Genomic DNA, 25,948 nt, shown 5'->3' on the forward strand with positions numbered 1-25,948 from the left:
TCAATTTTTTTTTTTTTTTTTTTGGGATGGAGACTCACCGTGTCGTCCAGGCTGGAGTACAGTGGCGCGATCTCGGCTCACTGCAACCTCTGCCTCCCGGGTTCAAGCGATTCTCCTGCCTCAGCCTCCCGGGTAGCTGGGACTACAGGTGCACGCCTCCACCCACAGCTAATTTTTGTAATTTTAGTAGAGACTGGGTTTTACCATGCTGGCCAGGATGGGCTCAATCTCTTGACTTCATGATTTGCCTGCCTTGGCCTCACAAAGTGTTGGGATTACAGGTGCGAGCCACTGTGCCCGGCCTAGTTTTCAATTTTAATAATACTGTTAGGTAACACAGCGTATCAAAACTATTATCATTTCCACATGTAATTCATATGAAATATCAATGAGACAATTGATACCCTTTGATGTGACACCATGTCTTTGAAAAAGGGTATGTATTTTATGGCACCCTCAATTCAGACCAGCCATACTTTGACTGCCCAACACTGTGTGTGGCCAGGGCTACCCTACTGGATGGTGCAGATCCAGCATGTCTCAGGAGACTATTATTTCACAAAGTTGGTGTCATTTGAGATGCACAGGTAAGCACTCTTTCCTAAGGTTGGCTAATGTAATGTTGACTCATTAGTAAATATTTAGTAAGTGCCAACTGTGTGCAGGACAGTTTTCTAGGTGCTATGCAAATAGCTCTGAACCACACACTATGCCCTTGCCCTCATGGGACTTCAGTGAAGCATATACTAAATCACACAACTAATTATTTGATAATTCTGGATGCTAAGACAGGGAAGCTTGACTGCACCCATGGGTCAGTGGAGGTTGCCCCTACTAAGTGACATTTAAACAGAGACTTGGAAGATAGCTTGGCTTTAGCTAAACAGTGTGCAAAGAGAGGAACATGAGGTGGGACAACCACCATAGTTAGAGAAATAAAGGATCAGTGGATTTGAAATACACAGAGCAGGACTCAGAGAGCACATTGTGAGATGAGTCTGGTCAGCAGGAACATACAGGCTGTTTGGGGTGAGTGCTGGATTCTATCTGAAAAGCAATGGGAAGCCTTGGAAGGTTGTACGCTTAGAGGGTGACATGATCCAACACGATTTTATAGAAATTAAATATGTCTTCAAGTTCTTTGCTGCTCTGCTCATTGAGATTTATAATTTAATTCCCCTCTCTCTTTGAATTCTGACTGGTCCTACTGACTTGCTTGACCAAGAGAATCTGGTGGATGTGAGGTCCTGAGATCTCCAAGTTCGGGTCCTTAGAAGCCTTGCAGTCCACCCCAGTCTTTGGGAGAACATTCTCTTGAAGCCCTGAAGTGTGACTACCCAGAAAGCACCATGCTAGAGATAGCATGTGGATGGGACACTTGGCAATGAGCTGAAGAGAAGCAAATATCAGCTCATGAATGACAATGACCTCTACAAATCCCCAAGTCAGATTTGCCGCGAGGAGAAAGAGATTTCTGTCTACTGGCCATTGGTGTCTACCCAGCAGAGGTCCTAGGCATCCTGGAGCAGACGGGAGTTGCTCCACTGAGTCCTGTCCAAATCTCATGTTTACAAACATAGCCAATGGCAGTTTTAAGGGGATGTTTGTTATACAGCATGAGGATGTCTGTTATATGTTATCAAAGGGTTTTGATAATCCCTCTGGCTGAAGTGTGGAGATGGACAAACTGCAAGGGAAGAAGGACATGTGTGGACAATAGTAACTGAACCAGAATGTGGCAGGAATATGGAAGGCAGTGGCTGAGTGAAGACACACTGAGAGGTCACCCTGAAAACCCTCCCTGTCTTGGTAGGGAGGGGAGATTGTTGTTTTCTCCATTTCTGTTTTCTCCTCCTTCATTTTTTCTTTCCAGGTTCAAGAATTAAGACAGGAATCTTTAATCCTTGTCCCTTTACTGTCTTTCCCATATGTTTTCAAGTTGGCTCAAGAGTATTGGTGGCCACTTGACCAAGAGAGTAACAGATAGATGGCTGTGACAGATGGTGTGTAGTATGTGATGACGAAAATCTCTATTGATTCAGCCTCAGAAAGAATATTTGGGTTTATCTGAAAACTGCACATCATGGTCAAGTGGCTTAAAAATAAAATTAAGTTAGATAAAGATTAAAACATATACTCTCACCTCATTGTAGCTAATTAAAAGTCACTAAAATGTTTTAAATAGGAACAAACATTATTAATGGCAAATAGGGAAAAGTGTTCCCAAAAACCTAACTGACATTCCATTGGGTACATTTGTCTATGGTTTGTGCACCAAAGCAAAGCCACATCCCAGCACCACTTTGGAAAATACATATGGAATGCTGTTTCACTGGTTCATTTAACAGTGATATTTTCATTTGTGTTTATCTATAGTGGTTTTATATTCCTAATTCTTAAAAAAAAGATTTTTTAAAAATTGTAACATCTAAGGCAAAATTAAACAAGAGATTTCTCAGAAGTCTCTAAGAAAACCTTCTGTCCTGTGCCTCATTAATTCATCAATATAATGCAAATTAATTGCCACTGCATTAAAAAAAAATTGTTAGAATAGAGATCCGGATGTAAAAGTTGCCCTAGCATGCCGCACTGCTGAGACGAGCTATTACAGCCCACTTTTCCACTTCACTTTAGGGGGATCTGTAGCTACTAGTTCTTCTTTAGGAAGTAAAATTGGCTGCACCTGGGCATATTATTAGCTGCTCACCACAGGGAATCTCATGCTGATGGGCTATAATTTAGCAGAGAAGGAAAAAAAAAAAAGGCAATCCAATTAAAATGAAGCACATCACTTGGTGCCCATTTGCTGATTGCTTGTCAGAATCTATTATCTTGTATTTAACAAATATGGGATAATTAGAAAAGGAATGAGTATGAGACAATCAAAATTTGGGGAGCAAATCGTTATCCTTGCACAAAAGAAAAACTCTGAGTCCTCCTAATCCATCCTATCAAAGGAAAAAAGCACACCCATATATTCCCCTGTGAGATGCACAGATAATTTGAGAAGACTCCTGTCAACCAGTCCCACCCCAGTCCCAATCCTGGCACTGCCCCCGGGGGCCCAGCCTAAGGTGGCCTGTCCTGCTGAGTGCAGCCCCAGGCCTCAGTCATGAGGCCATGGAAGTCAGATGCAGTCATGGAAGTCATGGAAGAGAGATGCAGGCTGTAGACCACCCTAAGGGTTTTTTAGAGTCAAGAAATTTTTGTTTTGTTTTCCTTTTCATGTACTTGGTAAATTTAAACAGGCTGACATCCTGATTTAAAACAAACAAACAAAAAATACCAGTAAGGTTTTGTTTAAAGGGTTTCTGGCTACTCCTTAACAATCAAGGTTGTTTTAATTATAATGAAAAGCTACTTACAAACACCAAACTGTTGAGATTTTTTAAAAATTAGAAATCATTAAGATTGGCAAGTTCATGGGAAAAAAGACCTACTGTGTGAAATTTGGAACAACTTTTATGGAGGATAACTGGCCATGAGTTTCAATTGTTTGAAAAATGTGCTCACTCTTTGGTTCAGAAATTCTACCACCAAGATATAGTCTGGAGGTAAAATTATATATGCACATAGATTTGATTAAACATGTTAATCACAGCCTGACATGTGACTGCAAATAAATGGTAACAGTTGTATGTCCAGTAACGGAAGTGCTGACTATCGTATGAGATGAGATGGAATACCATGCGGCCATTCTACATTCTTCCATGATGCAGAAGAATATTGCAGGTCGATGTGGTATCAATGAAACAGGCACATGTTTCAGAAGAACATCAACAGGATTACATGATATACATTATGTATAAATTGCTGCATAAATTATGACTACCTGTGCATGCATCTCTATATACACACACTTATGCCACATGTATAAATATATATTTATGTTTTTATTATATATTTTATATACATTATGTATATATGTATGCATGTGCACACACACACACGTTTTAAAAGTAGATGGGGGCCAGGCGTAGTGGCTCACGCCTGTAATCCCAACACTTTGGGAGGCCGAGGCGGGCAGATCACCTAAGGTCAGAAGTTTGAGACCAGCCTGACCAACATGGCGAAACCCCATCTCTACTAAAAATACAAAAATTAGCCAGGCATGGTGGCACACACCTGTAAACCCAGGAGAATGCCTTGAACCAGGAGGTGGAGGTTGCAGTGAGCCAAGATCATGCCATTGCACTCCAGTCTGGGCGACAGAGAGAGACTCTGTCTCAAAAAAAAAAAAAAAAAAGAAAAGAAAAGAAAATTGATGGGAATATTATATACCAAAATGTTAACAGCAATTTTCTCTAAATGATGAATCTATGAATAATTTTTATCAGCTTTATTTTTTTTTAAAGTTCTGCTTTACTATTAAAATCTGAAAAGAAAAAAAGAGCACTTTAAGAGTGATCTCTTCATTATCTTCAATGGCTCTGAAAAACAAAAAACGTGGTGGGTAAGAAAGTCAGACAACATGGCTAAATATTCCCCAACAAATTCGTACCCTTTCTTTCCGAGATCTTTCATTATTTTGAGTGGTGATATTGCTTCCTAAGAGATTATGACACATCTTACATGCATGAGCTGCATTCATTTCAAACCTAAGAAAAGCAGGGTACCTCAGACCACAGCTAAGCTGGATGTATTAAGTGGCCTGGGATGTGTAATAACATGCAGACAGATGGAGCTAAAGTCTTTCCTGGGCAGAGAGCTCTATATCAACAAACGTCAAAAATGTGATATGGGCAGTCTTTGCCTGTGTCCTGGGTCTTCGGCTCTATTAAAAAAAGAAAAAATATTTTAAATGCATATCATTAAAGGCCACGGGCAGATAATGTGCTTCCCTAGAACACCAGCCCAAGGACTCATGTGTGGCTGTCATGAAGTCTTCAAGAAAGCTCCCTTTCTGATAGAAATGATAACGTTTTGAAATCAAATCAAACACACACACACACACATGCATACAAGATCCATGCAAACAACACAAGAGGCCTCGGTTATTATTTTTGAATTACCTTGTGTATGAGTCAGCTCCTGTTCTTGGTTGGAAGCAGAAATAACTGAACTTGTCTGACTTTAGCAGAAAGGGCTTCACTGAAAGGTTACTGAAGAAAGCACAGAATGACTGGGAAGTTTTTGACAACTGCAGTGTGCAGGAAAGAGCTAGCTGCCTGACAGTGCCAGAGTCTCACATCTCTTCAGGAAGGCCTAACTGACCCTTGGCCAGCTCCTGAAAACTTGGCCCTGCAATATTCCCTGCGCTGCTAATTAATAAGGTTGTTTTGTACACCCGGGGTCCTGACACATGCTGCCCAAGCTTATCTAGTTGGTTCGTACCAAGTCAATAGCATGATTTACGGTGGTCACGTTTCCTCCTGGAAATAGGTGCCTGTGTGACCAGCTCCTGATAAAAGCTCTAGCCTCTGAGACCCAAGCTGCCCTCCCTGGGCTTAGACACTTGGCTTACATCACTGAAGTTCATTGCTGGAGGAGTGAGTGTGTCTTGCGCAAATCCACAGGAAGACTTTGGAGGCCACTGCTGGGTCTCCTCTAGACACTGCCTGGTGCATTTGTTTTCCTTGCTGATGCCACTGCGTGTTTTTTCACTGTAATGAACCATAGTCCTGAGTCTCCCTGAGCCCTGTGAGCCCTTCTAGTGAGTCACGGAACTTAAGAATGGTTATTGGCCGGGCGCGGTGGCTCACGCCTGTAATCCCAGCACTTTGGGAGGCCGAGGCGAGCGGATCACGAGGTCAGGAGATCGAGACAATCCCGGCTAAAACGGTGAAACACCGACTCTACTAAAAATACAAAAAATTAGCCGGGCGTAGTGGCGGGCGCCTGTAGTCCCAGCTACTTGGGAGGCTGAGGCAGGAGAGTGGCGTGAACCCGGGAGGCGGAGCTTGCAGTGAGCCGAGATCCCGCCACTGCACTCCAGCCTGGGCGACAGAGCAAGACTCCGTCTCAAAAAAAAAAAAAAAAAGAATGGTTATGAGACACCAGAAATAGACTCTAAGACAGCCAGGCAGAAGCCAACACCCAGAACAAAGGCCAGGCACAGAACCAGTCTTTTTTTTTTTTTTTTTTTTTTAAGACGGAGTCTTGCTCAGTTGCCCAGGCTGGAGTGCAGTGGTGCAATCTCGGCTCACTGCAAGCTCCCCCTCCCAGGTTCACGCCATTCTCCTGCCTCAGCCTCCTGAGTAGCTGGGACTACAGGCGCCCGCCACCACGCTCGGCTAATTTTTTTGTATTTTTAGTAGAGACGGGGTTTCACCATGTTAGCCAGGATGGTCTCGATCTCCTGACCTCGTGATCCACCCGCCTCGGCCTCCCGAAGTGCTGGGATTACAGGCGTGAGCCACCGCGCCCGGCCCAGAATGAGTCTTGAGTAAATGTTGCTGCTGCCATCACAGAACACCAGAGGCCACAATCTACCCCCTCCCAGCTCCTTCTAGGACCCGAGCAGGACACTGGAGATCCACTGGCTCCCAGGTACTGTAACTGAGACTAGGGTTTCTCAAGCTTGGCGCTGTAGACATTTGGAGTCAGACAATTGTTTTTCGTGGGAACATTCTATGCATCATAGTATGCGTAAGCAGCACCCCTGGTCCTTGCACACTAAATGCCAGCAGCTCCCTCCCAGTCGTTATGGTTGAAACTGTCTGCTGACATTGCCATATGACTTCTGGGGTCAAACTTGTGCTCAGTTGAGGAGCACTGACTTAGAAGAAGCTAGGTCAGGTGTCCATAGAGTAGCTACAAGCACATCTAGAAATAGAGACTCTGCTGACTCAGATTCTGCAACTTCTTCCTTCCCACCAAAATTCCTACTGCAGAGCAATGCCAGACAGAGGACGGGTGTTCCAACGCGAAGCAGGCAAAACACCGGCACCCACCCACTTTGCAACACACTTGGGGCTTTTGTCAATATGGCTGCCTGGGTGAAGGTGAAGCCTCACGAACCATAGGAATTGTCAGGTCTGCTTTCTAAGGAGAACTTTATTCACTGACATTCTGGCTCCTGAATTAAGAGCTGTGCGGGACTGATTAAAAAGGTGTCATTGTATTAAGAAATGAAAGCCTCGTGTTTCAATAAGCATCTCTGATAAGAAGAAAATTGCTAGTTAGTACACATGAAATCAACAGGCTGCTTGATGCCTATCGAAATGTGTGCTCCGTTTTCAGAAAATCCAAACGAAGAAGGAATAAATACATTTTAAAATGTTACTGGGTAAAATCCACTGATGAGCTCTCCGTGGTCTTTGCCTTTATGGAACTTCCACATGACATCCTCTAAAGGGGGAGGGCAGGAGGGGTGCTTGTTGCCGTGGCAGCAGGTGCGGTGTGGGGAATGGTCTCTAGCGCTGCATGGCAGCGCTGTCCTCACAGCAGCTGCCACCCTGCTTTCACCCTGATGGCCTGGGAGGCGGAGTTTCATGAGAGAGAAGCATGAATCTGCATCCAGAACATCTGGGTTTATTAGGCCTAGGATTTTTCTGCACATTTGTGCTTTGTCAAATAATATAATAAGTTCCTAAAAGTCAGAGGGTAGATATAAATTAATTGAAACAGGAGAGCACAACCCAAAACATGCTTTTACAGAGAACTCTGAGAAAAAAAAAAAAGTGGAGAAACAAAAGAGGCTCTCCAAGCTTCCAGACTGTGAGCTAGCGCAGAGACAATGATCAGAGAGATTGACTGGGAGAATGGAGAGGTGGCAGCTGGTCAGTTTGCTGCATCGCCGCCCCCCAGTCCTCATTCCTCCTTCTTATAGCAATCACAGGGCACTTGGCTGCAGAACTCAGGCAGGAGCAGCGCCTGGAGGTGGAAGGGACAACATGGCAGAAACTCAAGTGTCTACCAAGACCCAGGAAGAAGGGGAGAGACTTTGCAGCTCCTGGCATGACAGGCCTCGCAATCTGTCCTGCCTCTACCTCAGAATTACTCGAAATAGGCTGAAGCAAGCAGTATGCCACTTAAACCCACCGGGTAAAAGGAAAGCTCAAATATAAAGATAAGCAATTTTAAAAAAAACAAAAGCAACACCATTAAAGTGAGGCATACACATTTAAAAAAAGTAGAGTAAATAGCATCTCATGAAGTGGGGTTAATATAACAAAAGGAAGTAAACTTTAAGTGAAGTATAGCATTCTGAGATGAATGTCAGAGGATCCTTCTCCCATGAAACTATACCAGATTTATTATAATATGTGATATTTCTAAAATAAGAATAAAATATACACATTTAATAATATTTATAAAACAATTATTGTTGACTTAATTGGAATATTTTTGATGATTACATTATTTTGAATTTAATTACTAAGGAACATTCCTCCAGCTAGACAGATTCAAAAAGATTAATATGTTGGGGTAATAGTTTTTCAACAAAATATAATTTACCTATTGTTACGCAGTTCATATTTCTCCATTTTGTTCACAAGCATGAAATAAAATATATCTATTCAACTATTCTAATATAAAATTAAGTTAATTCATGAAAAAGAAAGGAAATGGGTCCCTTTACATTATTCATTCTTAGTGAATCCACTCTGGCTTGAGTTGATTACTGCTTTAATATCTATGTATTAAGGTACTACAAAATAATCTGTTCTAGGAGTTTGTTTCGCCATTGCATCCACAGGCATTGTAAATACGCCGATCGATACTTTCTAGACTTAATGAATTCATATTTTTGGAAAGATAGAATTTGAATTGGAAAGCTTTTGAAAGAGAGCCCAGTCAAAAGATTTGAACAGACACTTGAACAGAGAAGATTTTAAGCATGTAAAGAAAAAAAAAAAAGCTCAACATATTAGTAATTAAGGTAATATCATTTAAACCGTATGAGATAACACTATGAAATCTAGTAGAATGGCAAGAAAGGAGGAAAGGAAGAAAAAAGGAAAAAGAGAAAAAGAAGGAAAAGAAAAAGAAAGAGAGAGAGAAAGAGAGAGAAAAAAGAAAAAGAAAGAAAGAGAGAGAGAAAGAGAGAGAAAAAAGAAAAAGAAAGAAAGAGAGAAAGAGAAAAAAGAAAGAGAGAGAAAGAGAGAGAAAAAAGAAAAAGAAAGAAAGAGAGAGAGAAAGAGAGAGAAAAAAGAAAAAGAAAGAAAGAGAGAGAGAAAGAGAGAGAAAAAAGAAAAAGAAAGAAAGAGAGAAAGAGAGAGAAAAAAGAAAAAGAAAGAAAGAGAGAGAAAGAGAGAGAAAAAAGAAAAAGAAAGAAAGAGAGAAAGAGAGAGAAAAAAGAAAAAGAAAGAGAGAGAGAAAGAGAGAGAAAAAAGAAAAAGAAAGAAAGAGAAAGAGAGAGAAAAAAGAAAAAGAAAGAAAGAAAGAAAGAGAAAGAAAGAAAGAAAGGAGGGAGGGAGGGAGAGAAGAGGGAGGGGGAAGGGAGGGAAAGGAAAGGAAAAGAAAGGAAGGAAGGAAAAAGGGAAGGGAAGGGAGAGAGAGGGAGGGAGGGGAGGAAGGCAAGCAGGCAGGCAGGCAGGCAGGCAATACCAAATAATGGTGAGAATATAATGGAAAAAAAGAAAAGAAAAAAGAAGATTGAGTAAGGGAGGGAGGCAGGCAATACCAAATGATGGTGAGAATATGATGGAACAACTGGAACTCTCATATACTGCTAGTGAGAATTCCAAATAGATTAGCTATTTTGGAAAACAGTTTGACAGCTTTTTATAGAATTAAACACGTATTTATCATCCAATTCAGAAACACTACACTGTGTTCATATAAAAAATCTGTAAATGAACGTTTCTACTGGTTGTATTCATGATGTCCCATCACTAAAAACAACCCAACAACCTCCCTTTCAGTAGGTGAGACAATAAACCGGGTTCCATTTATACAAGGGAATACGACTCAGCGTGCACTGATGCGTGTGACGACATTGATGGATCTCAGATGCATTATAAGTGAAAGAAGCCAGACTCAAAAGTTTGCATTTCTAGGATTCCATTGATATGACATTCTAGAAAAAGCAAAATATAGAGACAGAAATCACAACAGTGGTTACTAAAGTTGGGAGACCAGGGATAAAAATGACAAAAAAGGGGCACCAGGAAAGTTTGGGTGTCCCACAGAAACATTATCTGATTGTAGTGTGACTCTAAGCATATGTTCAAAAGAAGAAATACACATTAAAAATAAATTTTATTACATGTAAATTATATCTTTATAACTACAAAAAAACAAACAAAAAAACTACCGTGGGATAAGTGGAGCCCGAGATTTGAGATGAGCTCATAAAGAGTGATTTGGGGTGCTCTCCTCATACCAGGCATTCTCGTGAACTCCTCTCCACATTGTGTCTTTGGGTTTCATGACTACTATCACATGAGGTGAGATTTCATTCTGAGGCAAACAGCAAGAAAACGGACATTTTAGGAAAGTATAAATTCCCAGTGACCTGACTGGAGAGGCTTGAGGATCACTGGTTCAAAGCTCCAGTGTACAAAGCAATGCTGACTGGATGCCCTTTGCAGCCAGGCCAGGCCATGGCTGCTAAGCACCCTCTGACTTCTGCTTGGGGACCAGATGGGATGGCACCCAGAGAAGAGTGCTGTTTGCCAAAGTCATATAGTGCTTTCAGGACATGGTTCCACCAGACCCAGGTGTCCCCGTTCCTCTCTTAGGGAGCCACCCATTCATCTATATCTCAATTTTGCACCAAGGGGAGTTCGTAAATTTATTTAGAGGCCATGTACAGAGATGGCCCCAAATGGCAAATCCAATTGAGCTGTTAAGAATTGCTGTTTTTGAGAGTCCAATGTACAAAGGGATGGATCAAGATGAAAATGTGAACTGGCACTGAATGAGGTCATGGAAAAGAAAGAAAGAAAGAGAGAGAGAGAAGGGAGGGAGGGAGGGGGGAGGGGAAGGAAAGGAAGGAAGAAAAAAGAAAGGAAGGAAGGAAAGAAAGGAGGGAGGGGAAAAAAGAGAGAGAGAGAATAAAAGATAAAATTCAAAGTAGGAAAACCACTTTTTACATCAACTACCACCACGATGACAAAATTTCTAGAAAAGACAAAAGACTTTTAAATACTCAGTTGATGCATTGCTATTTTAGGTCATGTTTCCTTTTCACTTACCAGAATATTACTGGAAGCCCACAATTATCACCTGCCTCCTATTTTCTTACCCCTTGACCTTCACCTGACCCCTGAAGTCAACGTACTTTCCTGACTTTAAAGACAAAAAGAAAAGGATTTGAGTGTCCGCCCCACTGTTGGAGGTGTACAAAAAAAGGTGTGCTTCAATGGGAAGCGCCACAATTTCTAGACTCTAGAGGTTATCACATTCTAAGTTTTCATTGTCTTTGAGCTATTTTACAAACCTATAGTCTGTAGGTAACTAATGAACACCATAAATTCCACCTGTCATAGGGGTTTAATTGGTTTCCCTCCCCACCGACACCATTCCCATGGAAAAACCAGTTTTGACTCCATTTGCATATTCATTTCACTATTACTGACAAATAAATGTTGGTTTTGATCCCCATTTCAACTGTTTATAATGTTTTCCTAGCTCCCTCACTGAATGAGGTAAATAAAATCTTTAATGCATGTTCATTTGTACATCTGCAGGAGGTATAGCCTGCCCGAATACCAGCACGAGGGGTCTAGTTGGAAAGCTGGATTGGACAGCTCCTCTGTGCAGCCCACACTTGACCACAGTCAGCACTTTTGGCCTGAGACCAAAAGTGGAGCAAACTCAGCTCTGTCTTCCCAGTCGTGCTTTCCACTGAGCTGGCTCCGAGTCTGCCCCCAGGAAATACCTGTTTAGAGTTAAAAGCACTTAACACTGATTTGTATGTACATGATACAAAAAAAAAAAAAATCAGCATTAAAGGTTATAATGTGCTCATTCTTTGTCATATAATTGGACCTAATAAACAAACATCACATTAGTTACCTAGTAAATTTCAACTTATTACTAAATTAGTAGCTATCCTCACATACATCAAATATTGTCAACACTTTCCTGGAAGCTGCCGCTACCCACAAATTGAGCCAATTAAATAATTAATTGAAGTAAAATGACTCCTGTCCAGCAGAATGGATGTGAGATGTGTTTACTCGTTCAATCAAATCCTTCCTTTTCCAGAATGCATCATTTTCAAAGAAGGAGATCTGAAGCGGGGCCCTGGCTGACTCATTGAAGACTGCATAAAATATTTTGAAGCTATTCAGAAAAAAAAAAACACATTAAAAACAACTTTCATACTGGAGGTTAAGAGGCAGAAATCTTTATAGAGCAAAGTTCCTTTGTTTTGTATGCTATTTCCTGAGTGCAGTGAACTTATTAAGCACTTTGATGTAGCAAAAATTGTGATGTGTATATGTACAAATGATCCAAACACAGCAAAAAGCAGCTAAAAAAATCAATAAAGCAGCTTTTTAACAAATGCATTCCAAACTGGATCAAAGAGATAGCCTGGCAGCTACATGCTACTGATCTAACACTCATTACATTTTCATTTCAAGGAAACATCTTTTGCAACAGAAAGGTGAAGTCTATCTGTAATGAGCTTCTTCTAAGGCAGGAGGAAAGCTTCTTTTCAAATAGGAACTAAATAAATATGGGGCCTGTGTGGGTCTCTGCAAACAAATCTGTGCAGAAGGGCTCACCTTTGAAAGAAAGGCCTCTACAAATTCAAAGAGGGAGCTTTTCATTGATTTTTCCATCTTCCTCACTGTCCTTCCCCAGAATAGACTTTCATATGTAAATATGTGGTCAAGAGAAAACACTTGCCTACGGATAGTGGTGTTTTTGTTTTGTTTTGTTCTTTAAGGGATAGTCACTGGGAACTGGATGCTGTAAAAGCTTACCCATATCTGATTTGATAATGATATTCACCATTGATTTTATAGCCCAAGGGAGGGGCCCCTTTCAGAATGTTTCCAGGCACACAAGATTTTTTTCAGTGAGTTCACTCAGAAGGTTGGTTTGTCTTTCAGTCTTCATATGGCGATAAGTCTTGAGGATGGTTTTTTTTGCCCTGTGTTCTGATCATATACACCCATTCCAGGTTATCTTACCCAGGGCTTCCTGCCTAACAGGGACATTCTTGCCTCTCACAGAATGTTGTATCAATCAGATTTTTGTGCCGATTCTCATTTTGCCCCTCAGCCTCTACACATCTCATTTTCCCATTTTACTAACATGCAAACTCATCATTGCCTGTATCACTGGGTTAAAATAAAATAAAACATAACTGACTCTCAATTACCTTCTGGAAATATGACAGAAGGAGGAAATAGATGAAAAAAGCTCAGAGACAGAAAGATCTTTTTTTAAACTTTTTTTTAAGAACTGCCTCATGCAAACATCTACCTAGAATAAAATGTCACCAGCACTGCTGTAAGATCGGATTGAAAAAAGAGTAAGACTTTCCATGTTTTGGCCAGGCCCTTAGAACAGAGGCAGGGATTACCAAAGTAGGAAAACAGAGCAGCCTCATCTCCAAGTGGGGTGAGAGGCACCTGGACAGCCTGACCATGTGAATGATGCTTGGGAGCAGGGTCTCCTGGAATGCAGAACATTCTCCCAAAGAAAAGAAGGAAGGCTGGCAGGACATGAAAGCCAATACCCAGCACTTTTGAGTTCCTAAATAACCTACCAGAAGGGCTAAGAAAATTGTGTATAGAAGTCAGGCCAAAAAAGAAAAAAGAAATATTAGATTAGGAAAGAAGAAACCTTTGTGTGCATACACATCCAAAAGCACATCCACACAAACACACACTCATCACTCCAACCTTCCAAGCACCTGCAAATTGGGAAATATCTCCAATACATTTTGAAAGAAATGAGGTGTAAGTAATTGAATGATAATCTAAATAGCATATTCATACCAGTTATTTTATAACATAAAGAAAATTCTTTGATTATATAAAGTGAGCTTTTATAATCTAAGAGTATATTTATTATGTTAGTTGCTGTGTTGACATAAATAGGTATTATACAAATATATTCTCACCATAAAAAAGGCAAATAGTATATACATTTTGAAGTTAAATAAATGTTTAGTTTAAATCATTATTATTTAGGTGTCCAAATGTGAAAATAATGAACATTTATGAACAATTTCTGAAACAGGAATGAGTAACCTGAAAAAATGAGAGATGTTGATGAAGTTCAATTGATATTCAACTCAAAACAAAATTAATATAAGAGTAAGAAACCACAGAGATATACATGGAGACTAACTGTCCACATTTTCCAAAAGAAAATGAAAGATCTTGGGGAATAAGAGAAAAACATTATACAAAGATGCATTATAATGTATAATACAGTAATACTTAAATTCTCCAGAAACCAGCTATCCGGCACTTTCCTCTATGGAAGAGTCGCTCAACAAAGGCCCACCATCCTGTGTCTAGGAGTCTCCTTTTTCACTCCCTGAGATGAGATTCTATGTTTCTCATCTCTGGCTTCCCTCCTAACAGCTCTCTCAGTGCCTTCTCCAGCCTTTTCTGGAGTGCAAGCCCTCATCCTAAACTTGCTCAGTTAGAATCTCTCTCTACCCTGCACCCACCCCAATCACCCACTCAAGGCGGATCCTGCTGCAGGAGCTGGAAAGCCCCCACCCTGTGGCCTTCTCAAGGATGTCATTACGTCTGTTCTTTTATCTTTCTTGTATCTGCACCACGACAGCTTATTCTCTATTGGATCACTGTACTCACTGGGCAAACATGCTCTACTGTATCTCATCTTTACAAAAAACACATAAACAAATAACAACAACAAAACAAAATTCCCTTTAGCTGGCATTCTCCTTTACTACTGCTCCATTTTCCTCTCAATTTTCCCCACACAATCTTCCTCACCTCTTCCTCCTCTCGGGAAATGGGAAACCCTATTCACCTATGTCTAGCAGGCTCTTTTTGAAATTAAGTACATGTTTATTAATAGTTTAAATCTTTATTATTTAGGTGTCTAAATTTGAAAAAATATGGACTTTACACAATTTCTGATAGATGAATGAGTAACCAGAAAAAAATGAGAGATGTTTATGGAATTCAACAGATACAGAACCCAAAATAAAATTAATATAAGACCGATTCCTGATTTTTAGGAGGGAAGGCAGAGTTGGGAAATGCCAAATCGCATCACAGGGAGTGGACAGAGGAGTGTTGCGCAACCCAGGAATATTCTTGATTTTACCATCTTCCTGCCTCATCCCTGCCCTCAGCCCATGTCAACACACCCATCAGCAGGTCCTACTCCTGCTATCTGAAAATGTATCTCACATCTCTCCACTTACCTCTACTTCCATTTGAGGTCACCATCATCCCTTATGTAGACACCTGAAATAACCCCCATCTGATCTCTCTGCACCCATACTTTCCCCTCTACAACGTACTCCCCATCTCTAGTAGCAAGTGTGATCTTCTTCACCCACCCACTGTGTCAAACCCTATGTTATACTCCTTCTTAGAACTCTTTGGTGACTTTCCATTGAACTTAGAATCAAATCAAAATGCTCTCCATTGCCTCCCAGCCTCTGGTGATCTGAATCATGTCTCTAGTCAACCTCATCTTCTTTTTAGTTTCACTTGGCTCCAGCCATGCTGTCTTTTTGCATTCCTCTTTGACACCACTTATGTGGCTCGTTCTTTCCCATTCTATTGTACATAGAGAGACCTTCCTGCTTCCCTAATCTAAAATAGAATATAAGCTTCTTAAAGGCAGAGGGTTCATTGCTACCAAGTTTTCCATTGTATTTCCAAAGCATCAATCACATAGTGGATGGTAAGTACATATTTGCTGCTAAAATGGCGAAGAATCAGGAGAACAGAAGAAATAAAACTTCTCAATGGGGTCAAAACAAGTAGTACAAAGCGAATGCTATAAAACTTGAAAACTTGATTCATAAGAAAGCATCTTGAGTTTATGGATCTTTTCTTTACGTATCAAGAAAACAACAACTAAAATTAACTGGGAATCTGGTTTCCATATGCTCAGCCTACTAGGAAGGGAGAAAGAGCTCCAGCTGCCCCCTCAAGTAACAGATTCTGACTGAGAGATACACCGACTGAGGACAGAAGCCATATCTACTTCATGAGCTTTGTGTCCCTAACATCTAGTACACTGCCTCTCCATAATAGACAGCCACACGTTAGTTGAATGAATGGACAAATAACTCTAATAACCTGTGGCAAATAGAAGTGAATGCAAAGAACTAGGAGAGGACTGAAAAATTGATAACAGATTTAAGTTGGGAGATCACAGTGATAGCTGAGTGGACCAAATCTTAAAAATTATGTAGCATTAGAACTTGTGGAATAGGCAAGAAAAGCTGTCAACTCTATGAAAACCACAAGGGCAAATCCAACTCCTTCCACCCCCACTATATGAGTAAATATGTTGTGGAAAGCCTTAACAATTCTGTGAGTCTTCTCTAAAATCACTTGGGATTTTAAAAGCTAGTAATTTTCTTTAAATATGCAATTTAAAGACTCAATTACAGCGAGTACATGTTTGGATTCTTCCTTTTCTATATGCAGTCAACCATACTTAAGTCACCTTGAAATACAACAAAAGCAAAACCCTTATTTCTAAGGACAATCCAGTAATAGCGATGACTTTACATATATCTATAAGATGCTGTAATTTAGCCAACACTTGCACTTACTTAAACTCCTTTATCATTCACAGCACATCTGTTAGTAGATATACTATCTCCATGATTCAGACGTGAAAGCTCCGATTTGGAGAAGCACGGGGATTTAAGCATGGTTGCACAGAGAAATCGAACCATTATTTGGATTCAGATTTACTAACTTTAAATCAGCTGTTTCCCACCACCTAAGCATGCCATAACTACTCTTTCCCATTCTTGGACAGAGTTTTTCTGCTGTGTTTTTGTCTTCTCTTCTACCCTGCTGGGAAGGGTAGAAGGAAACTTGAAGACCCCCAAAGTTGTGTGTCCGTGTATGTCAAGAATGATTCAGATGGTACATTTGACCACTTTGTATACCACCTTGTTGTGTATTTAGTGTGGCTCAGTAAATCACACAACCCCAGCACAATGAAACCACAAATAATTTGTGTCTTTTGTCTTTGTAGACAGAAAAGATCATCCATAAAATGAGCAAATATATTGGAAGCCCAACCCTCTTTTCTGATCCATACTTCGATAGCTTAACTGAATTCAGCAGAGTAGCATTATTAGAGAAGAAATGAATCCTAACAGTTGGGATCATGAACCCTGGAGCCAACTTGCCTTTGTGAAAGCCTGGCTCCCCCACTTACCAGATGAGAGAACTTTGACAAATGATTGAACCTCTACAAGCCTCAACTGCACTTCTACAAATTACTGTACCTCTACAGGCCTCTTCTTCTATAAAATGGGGATAACAGTAGGGTTGTCATCAGAATAAACTAAGTTAAAACAGAGGTCAAACCAGCTCACTGTTTGTTTTTGTAAATAAATCCGTATTGGAACACAGCCAAGATCATTTGTTTATGTATTGTCTGTGGCCACTTTTGCACTGCAGTGGCAGAGTTATGTAGTAATAACCTAGATCTCATGGCCCACAAAACCTAAAATATCTAGTGTCTGTTACTCTACAGAAAAAGTTTGTTGACTCTTGAGTTAATAGATGAAAAACATTTAGAATGGTCCATGGTATAAGCACTTGCTATCTATCTATCTATCTATCTATCTATCTATCTATCTATCTATCTATCTATCTATCTTTTCTTGTGTTTTTTGAGACAGGGTCTTGATCTGTCACCCAGGCTAGAGTGCAGTGGTGCGATCTCAGCTCACTGCAACCTCCGCCTCCTGGGGTCAAGTTATCCTCTCAACTCAGCCTACTGAGTAGCTGCAACTACAGGCATGCACCACCATGTAGCTAATTTTTGTAATTTTTTTGGAGAGATGGGGTTTGACATGTTGCCCAGGTTGGTATCAAACTCCTGGCCTCAAGCAATCTGCCGGCCTCGGCCTCCCTGGCCACTGCACCCAGCCCTATATATCTATCTTTTTGTGTGTGTATGTGTGTGTAGTATGTGTGTGTGTGGTGTGTGTGTGTGTGTGTGTGTGTGTGTGTGTGTGTGTGTGTGATATTACTTACTCTATGGCAAGCACTTAGGATGTTTACTCTACTTCTTGTCCTATAAAATAATTTAGTCTCTACTCTTATGCAGAGGCCCAGAGATTGAGAGTCATGGGTCAAACCATTTGGGATTGGACAAGATTATCCTTATACATTTCTTCGAACCCTTTAATTCTAGAAAATTCAAAACCAAATTCAAACAGAAGTAATCAAATTTACTTTGGAAGGGTTTTGAGTCTCATAAAAATGTGCAATTGTGCATTTGTATGTATAGCCTGTATATCCAGTTAAACGATACCCAAACTCCTCAGGGGAAGATTACATATCTATCAACCATTGAAGCCAGAACTGGCCGTGTCACTTGTTTTTGCCAATGAAACAAGAGGAGAAGTGAGGAAGGAGTTTTAAGAGCTAGTTTGAGACTTACTGTGTTCTCTTTTTCTCAGTGCTCCTGATATCCAAAATTCCCCAGATGCAGCATGCTCCCTCAGTGTGGAAGGTCCATGAGTAAGGACCATGAAAGTCACAGCTGAGCCACCAGGGCAAATGGAGTAAGCAAGAAATTAATCAGCCTTTGTTGTTCGAAGGTGCTGAAGGTTGTTAGCCTACCACAACATAGCCTATTCTGATTGATACAGTGATTGTTCAATGTCTGCCCTTTGTCCAGAGTATAAAACTTCCATGAGAAAAGGAGACAAATCATATTTAATATTAATAATCATATTCATATTTACTATTGGAGACCTGGCATCTACTATAGAACCTGACATATACATACAGATTAATAAAAGAAGTTATCTGGTAGCATGTGAATAGTTAATAGAAGAGGTAAATGACAATATAGACAACATAGAGATGTTACAATTACTATTAAGTGCTATAAACAAAGAGGGTGCCCTTTATGACCTAGATTCCCTGGGAGGCAAGGAGTAAATGCTGATGGATGTCTACCATGGAGCCCAACAGGAAGAGGTGTGGTGGCCAGGAAAGCAGAAGTGAAAAGGAAAGAGAAGGGCTGTATAAACAATTAATTAAGCAGGAAAGCACAAAGTATGTCTAATATTAGGGAACGGACACATTTGACAGAAGCAGAGGCAGAGAGTTCATACAGAGGTGAGGTGAGAATAAAATCTACAGGAAATGCATGCATTGTTGGATAAAACCCGAATTTGCAAACATTTTTGTTGCTTTAAATGGTGTATAGTCAACACTTAAAAATGGCTCAAATTGTGGATTTTATGTTATGTATATTTTACCACAACAAAAATCTCTGTCTCCAGGGTTCAAGAGATTCTCGTGCCTCAGCCTTCTGAGTAGCTGGGATTACAGGTGCACGTGACCATGCCCAGCTAGTTTTTGTATTTTTAGTAAAGACAGGGTTTCACCATGTTGGCCAGGCTGGTCTTGAACTCCTGACCTCAAGTGATTCTCCCTCCTCGGCCTCCCAGTGTGCTGGGATTACAGGCGTGAGCCACTGCGCCCAGCCAAAGTAATATATTCTAAAAAAATAAATAAATAAAAGTTCAGTGTTGATCCATCACCCACCTGGATTTAGGGCAGAGAGTTACTGTTCACTGAGCATTCGGCCTTCACTGTACTTGTCAGTGGGGGATATAGGAAAAGTGCATGTAGACCCCATCAGCTTTCCTGGAAGCCTGGACACAAACAAAAACGCTGGAGAGAGTCTCAGATGAACACGGTAGAGTGTCACCCAAAGGTGGACAGATCATTACAATGTAATTTGATTTTTGAGGGAGTTGGGGGAAGAAAGAATGGGCTCAGAGGCTATGAAACGAAGTCCCCGCTTGAAGAATTCAGGTCAAGGGGCCAAGGAGAGAAAGACTCTGGGGGTTGGAGCATCTGTCATCAATCTGGATAATAAAAGTATTATCATTTTATAAATTAGATAACATCCACTTTCTCCCTGTGCTTTTCAGCAGTTATGGCCATTAAGGACACCATGTTATGTAGCAGAAATTGTGTATGCCAGCAATGAACCTTCTGTGCTTACACATTTTGGCCAAGTCACTTCGTATTATCTTATACGTGGCCTCTCTGCATGGCTCAGTGGCTCCCCTCCTCTGCTCCACCAGCCTGCAGATCAGCTCTGCCACAGTGCAGCTCTATCTGCCCCATGTCATTTGTCTTCTTGTTCCTTATTTGACTCTTGCCAGCAAATCTCACCGCTTGATAATTGAGCCAGCTACTGAACTGCTCTAGCAGCTCAGATTCCTTTCCCTAGCTGTCACCATCAGGTCCAGTCTTTCACTCCCACATCTTGCCTCATTCAACCACTTTTGTTATTTCTTTAAAATAAAATGTGTCTGAATTCTGGGCATGGTTTTGGGTGGGATTCTGGGCTTGCATGGGTGATTCACCGTTTTCCTCCAGCTGACTCAGAGCACCCCTGCAACCCAATAAGACTTCCCAGTATTGGGTCTACTCTTTTGTCCTGTCCCTCAGGCCCCACAGTCATGGAATTGGTGAGAAGGAATTAAGACACTGAAATCAGTCATGGAAACAATCACTCTGTTCACTCCAGCACATTTAGGTGGTGTTCCATGTTTACTGGAATGAATCTGGATGATAGAATCTCAGGACTGGGAGGGCCAAAGAAGTCATCCATTTTATCTCTGTCCCAAAGTAGGAAGTTATACAGCAACACATCTGATCTCTGTGGGGAACCTCACTCCCCATGAGGCTTCCCAGTCATATCAGGAGACATGGGCTTGTGGTGCAGAAGGAAAAATAAAGGGTGATGGCAACAGAGGCCATGGCTTTGACACTATCCTCGCCACCATGGGCAAGTTCTTCAGACTGTCTGCATGTTGGTGCTTTCCTAGTAAAATGTGGGTACAATTCTGACAAAGTCTGCCTCCCTGCGCTACTGCACAGGTTCTGTGAGAAGGTGCATTTGAACAGCACGCGTCCACGCAGTTGAAGAGGGCATCCTTTTACAGCTCTGAGTTTGCAAGGGTAGTGCCCTGGGCATGGGGCCTCCAAAGAGCTATGCTGGCTTCCAAGGCTGCTGACCAGGTCTATGCTGACCCCAGTGCTCAGGGGTTCATGAGCCTGTCAGAAATAGGAGGGCAAAATAATAAATAAAACTACCCCCAAGACAAATCCAGCTATTGTAGCCAACTGATAGAATCTGCCTATACCTGGCTTTATGAATACTTGTCATTCTGTAAATAAAAAAATGAAGAGGTAGAGAAAGTCGTTTACAAGAATAAAAGGAAATTGGGTGGGGGGAGGGTGAGAGGACAGTTGTTTTATATATACATATGCATACACAAATGTATTAAAAGACACACTACTATCACACATATATTGGGGAGTTGTTCTGCTCACATAATAAAGAGCTGTTTTACACACACACTCAGTAACGAGGTAAAACATATAAAGGACACGACAGTTCCTGGGACACAGTATGTGCTCCATAGTAAATGCTGGTTATTATCATTGTTTTCAGTATATCCAACACTGAGCCCAAAATAAAATAACGTGTTTTGCTTATTGGAATAACAAGATCACACGACAGCACTGAAATTGCTTAGTCGGAAAATGCAAGAGGTCTCACTCACTCTTCATCCCTAGGCCGGTGGCTTTCATTCCACGTTGATTGACAAGCACCTGTGCGGTGCTTTTAGAAAGACCACTACACTTAACTGTGCTGCATCCACAGGAAGCCCAGCGCCACTGGAATGGAAAGATGGACGTGACCATGTGCGAATCCCTTCAAGAGGCTGTGGGTTCCCTTTGCACACTATGACACCACCGATACTCCATCACTTTAAGCACCAACACTCAATCATTTCCTTAAGGTTTTCATGGGCATCACTTTTCCTCTTTATTTGTCCTAAGAGAATTTATTCTCAGAGATTTTGTAAAAGAGCATGGCAGGAACTTAATTATCCATTTCCTGGTAATTTTCTACATCCGTTGTTCCATATTGATTTGCTATTTAAAACCCCCTTTAGGTTGTTTACTGATGTCCTCCCAGCCTGTGGTTCTTCCCTATTTAATACATCATCACCAGCGAACACAAATGCTGGGTGACAGTTACTTTCATCGATTCCAACCAATGTGATACTTGGGTTTTGGAAGCAGAGAGTGGCAGTCTGAAACGACTTTTTCTATTGCATCTGGCACATGGTCACGTGAAGGAATGCACACAACGTATAATCAAATGGCGGTGGTCCTGAGAGGAAGGCGGTGACTTCACAAGATCTCACAGCAAGACCCAGTTCCACATCTCTCTGCAAGAGCAGGGACCCACAGCTCAGATAAAACAAGATGGCTATACTCTTCGTTCCCAATATGTCCTAGAAATTGCTGTTCTCAGTAAATAGCATCTTAATAAATCAAATAAACTATTAGTAAAACAAAATATGTACAAATTTAAAAAGAAATATTTGGGACATCCCACATTAAAGAATGTGTTAACTTCAATGTATTCATTTGAAGCCTGTGTATCCACAGCCACGTACAGTACGTGCACATGGCGATTTTTCTATTTTGGCAATAACTGAGTGAGAAGAAAGGAGGGGTTAGCTAGACATTGAGAATAAGATGGCTGCTCAGATGGGCCTCCGTCAGGACTGTAGGCTAAGAACTGTTTGATGGGGATGCATGGAGTCAAAACGCAAATGCCTGGAGTGAATTTTGAGAGCGTGTTCAATGGTGTAAGATGCTTGGATGTGTGTAACTTGGAATGAACCATACACAGAAAACACAAGGTTGTCTTTTCCCAAAGGGAGGCAGTCTCCTATTAGATTGGGAAGCCTCCCAGGGAATGATGCGCCCCAGAGATCCCATGTTGTTGCTGTATAAGGTGGTCTTCTCCCAAAGGGAGGACACAAAGGGTTTACTATTTCTTATTCTCGACCCAGGAACATAGCCTAACAAATAGAAAGAAAGAGAAAGCCTAGCAGCTATTTATTCCTTAGTGGGATATGCTCCTTTATATCCCAATATAAAGGAATCTCAAAGACACAACATATAAGTCTCTTTATTGAAAGACGACTTGATGAACGGTTAATGGAGGAGTAAAAGCACAAGAGTTACATTTAAGAACTTTCAAAACACAGAAAGTTTGAAAACAATAAGAGGAAAGATGTTTCAGGAATGAGATTCAGACCAGCTCTGTGGCTTTTGTTCCTCTTGTTCTGTCCGTAATTTTTGGTGGCAGCGGTTGGCAGTAGGCATAGAGCTGGCATCAGCCTCTGTCTGCACACAGAGGGACTTTGTGACGGAACCGTGTTTCCCCACTCAGCTCTTCACTACCAAGGCTTCTACCAGCATGCAGTGGTACTACACTCCCACTTGTGCACTTACGGTTCTGTTTGCCTACAACACTCTTCCTCCAAAGATTTATCCTTTTCCCTCATCTCTTCACATTTCTATGGGGACCCACAGCTCAGATGCAACACGATGGCCATACTTTTCATTCCCAATATGCCCTAGAAATTCCTGTTCTCTGTAATAGTATCTTAATACATCAAATAAGCTATCAGTAAAACAAAATATGTACAAATCTAAAAAGAAATATTTGGGACATCCCAGGTTAAAGAAATGTGTGAACTTCAGTGTATTCATTTGAAGCCTGTGTATCTACAAGGTTGTCTTCAGCACAGGCACGTGGTGATTTTTCCGTTTTGGTAATAACTGAGCGAGAAGAAAGGGTGTCTTTGCACCCACGTCCACCTCTCAGAAACCTTCACCAACCATCCTGTTTAAAGCATTAAACAGCCTCAACCTACTATCACCCTTCCTTGAGTTATTTTTCTCTACAACACTTTTCATCAAACATAGCATGTTACATGTTTATTTTAGTAGTTGTCTGCCTGCTCCCACTGGAATATAAGTTTCACAAAGATAGGAATTTTGTCTCTCTAAAATTTTCTGTAGTCTTCCAGCCCCTGGAATAGCACCAGGTACAGATGAGTTCTTAGTACTTCTGTGTTAAATGAAAGAATGACGGCATCTGGGAACAGCCTGTAGAGAGGTAGGTCACCATTCAAGGAAGAAGGGACACAGAGAGGGGACAGACAAGGCAGAAGAAAGAAGGGAAATCCCATCGACAGGAGAGAAAGGGGAAAATAAAGAAGAGAAAGCGAAGACACACAGCAGACAGCCTGGAGGGAGGGATGTCAGCAGGAGGGAAAAGGACAGGGCAGCAGTACCAAATGCTGGTGTGCGGGCCAGACACTGGAGACCGCTGGATTTCAAAACTCAGTGCCTGCTAGGGAACTTCAAGAAACACGTGTCAGTAAATGATGCAGCTGCAAATTGCTACCGAGGTAAAGAAAGATTTAGAAAGTAGAGTTAATGAAAATAATCTAGTTAAGAAAGAAAGAGAGAGGGAGGCAGGCAGTCTGGCCAGCCAGCCTTGGCAGCACAGGCCTGGAGAGCAAGCTTGTTACTTTAGCAGTGTATGCCGGTGTGTGCGTGGGCAGGTGTGTGTGCATGTGTGTGCATGTGTGTGTGTCTGATTCGTGACTGTGGATTGAGAATGTGTGGACAGTTATTTCAAGTACACAAGATCTGCACCATGTTTTCTTTTATAAGCAAATGGGAGAAATTAACACTGAATTAAAATGTGGTGTGTATTTTAGTTTCTCTCTGTATTTCAATTCCAGGAAATAAATTATCACAATTTTCACAACTTCAATTCATTTAGAGCCTTTTTAGATAAAAATTTTGTAATCGCTCAGAACTGCACTTCCAAGTCAAAAGAATTAATCTAAATATGTGTTGCTGACTCAAATAGAGAAGAGTAGGAACAAAGTAAACTCCTAAAAATTTTTCTTAAGGCATTTTAAAAAACTAAAACAAATGAAAAGCCCTATAGGACCCAAACACGCAGGCAAAATGAATTCTCTGAAGAGAAAAATGCATTTTGTTCTAATATTCTCTTAATAGATTTTTTTAAAAACGTGATAAGAAGATTGAAAGAAACCTGGGTAACTCGAGATAGATTATGCAAATGCTCATTTCATTTTCCTACTTCTGAGTGAGGCCTGGGCACAGTTTTAAAGCTGCAAGACCCCAGCACTCGCTATCTCTGCTGCCCAGCTGGCGCGCACAACCAAAGGATTATGCATAAGATGCACGTGGTTCACGGAGCCAAGACATTTATGCGGAGCTCAAAGGAATCTGGCATACTGTGGTTCTCGGGGGCTTAGAATGAAGATTTTAAAAATACATTTCCATGATTTTCACCAGCTTATCTCAACCAAGAGGTTAAATATTAGAGAGAGAGGGAGAGAGAGAGAAAGAAAGAGAGGGAAGAAGGAAGGGGGTGGTTCACTGCTTCTGCAGCCAGGAATGGAAATAACTTTGATTCTTAGGTTATATTTGATCATCACCAAGTCCTTTCCTCATCTCCTCTCTTTCCGAAAATGTGAGATTCGTATCAGTGAATCTTCCATACCAAATTTTACTATAACCATTCCTTTTTCCAGGGTAGTCCCTCTAACATAGAAAAATATGCCTTGGCATCACTCAGGCTCAGAGGAAGGAAATGAACATACTATGCTATATTTTCATTGTCTCCACTTCTATATCTATAAATTAAATGACATAACTTGCTAGGAAAAAAAAAATGCCACGCTAGTCTGAGGATTTTGGCCGGGGGTCTCATGACTTTTTTTTTTTTTTTTTCACAACATCTCATTCAACAACCACTCCATAGCTTGAGGATATGCTCCCTCAAAATAAACGCACCTGTCATCAGTGTTCCCGGATCAGAGACAGGCAGCTAATAAAAGGTTCATCAGGAATGGCTGAGAAGCCAGGGATCCAAGCGGAATCAAGCCCAGCTTTGTCATCTCAGCACTATCTCTGTCTGTGGTGAGTTACAGTTCCCTGTATAGACCAAAGACAGG

General features: G+C 41.1%; 1 protein-coding gene and 1 long non-coding RNA gene across 4 annotated transcripts in view, besides 1 other annotated feature; both read right to left on the bottom strand.

Annotated features, from left to right (window-relative positions):
- The window catches only part of DSCAM (DS cell adhesion molecule), an 836,160-nt gene that overhangs the window by 600,055 nt on the left and 210,157 nt on the right, over nucleotides 1-25,948 (bottom strand). The gene's annotated exons all lie outside the window — the stretch shown is intronic.
- Nucleotides 7,454-19,714, bottom strand: DSCAM-IT1 (DSCAM intronic transcript 1). The gene is made up of 4 exons (NR_046774.2): nucleotides 19,605-19,714; nucleotides 18,487-18,588; nucleotides 10,202-10,347; nucleotides 7,454-7,815 (listed from the first exon to the last, which is right to left on the bottom strand). It is a non-coding gene; the product is annotated as a DSCAM intronic transcript 1 (long non-coding RNA).
- Nucleotides 12,376-13,018: an enhancer, noted in NCBI's record as "NANOG hESC enhancer chr21:41995355-41995997 (GRCh37/hg19 assembly coordinates)". NCBI's record gives its function as "activates a minimal SCP1, AML or CMV promoter by ChIP-STARR-seq in naive H9 embryonic stem cells {active_cell/tissue: H9 hESC(naive)}" and the evidence as "EXISTENCE:reporter gene assay evidence [ECO:0000049][PMID:30033119]".

Source organism: Homo sapiens, chromosome 21, assembly GCF_000001405.40.
Source record: "Homo sapiens chromosome 21, GRCh38.p14 Primary Assembly".
In the NCBI taxonomy this organism is placed as follows: Eukaryota; Metazoa; Chordata; class Mammalia; order Primates; family Hominidae; genus Homo; species Homo sapiens.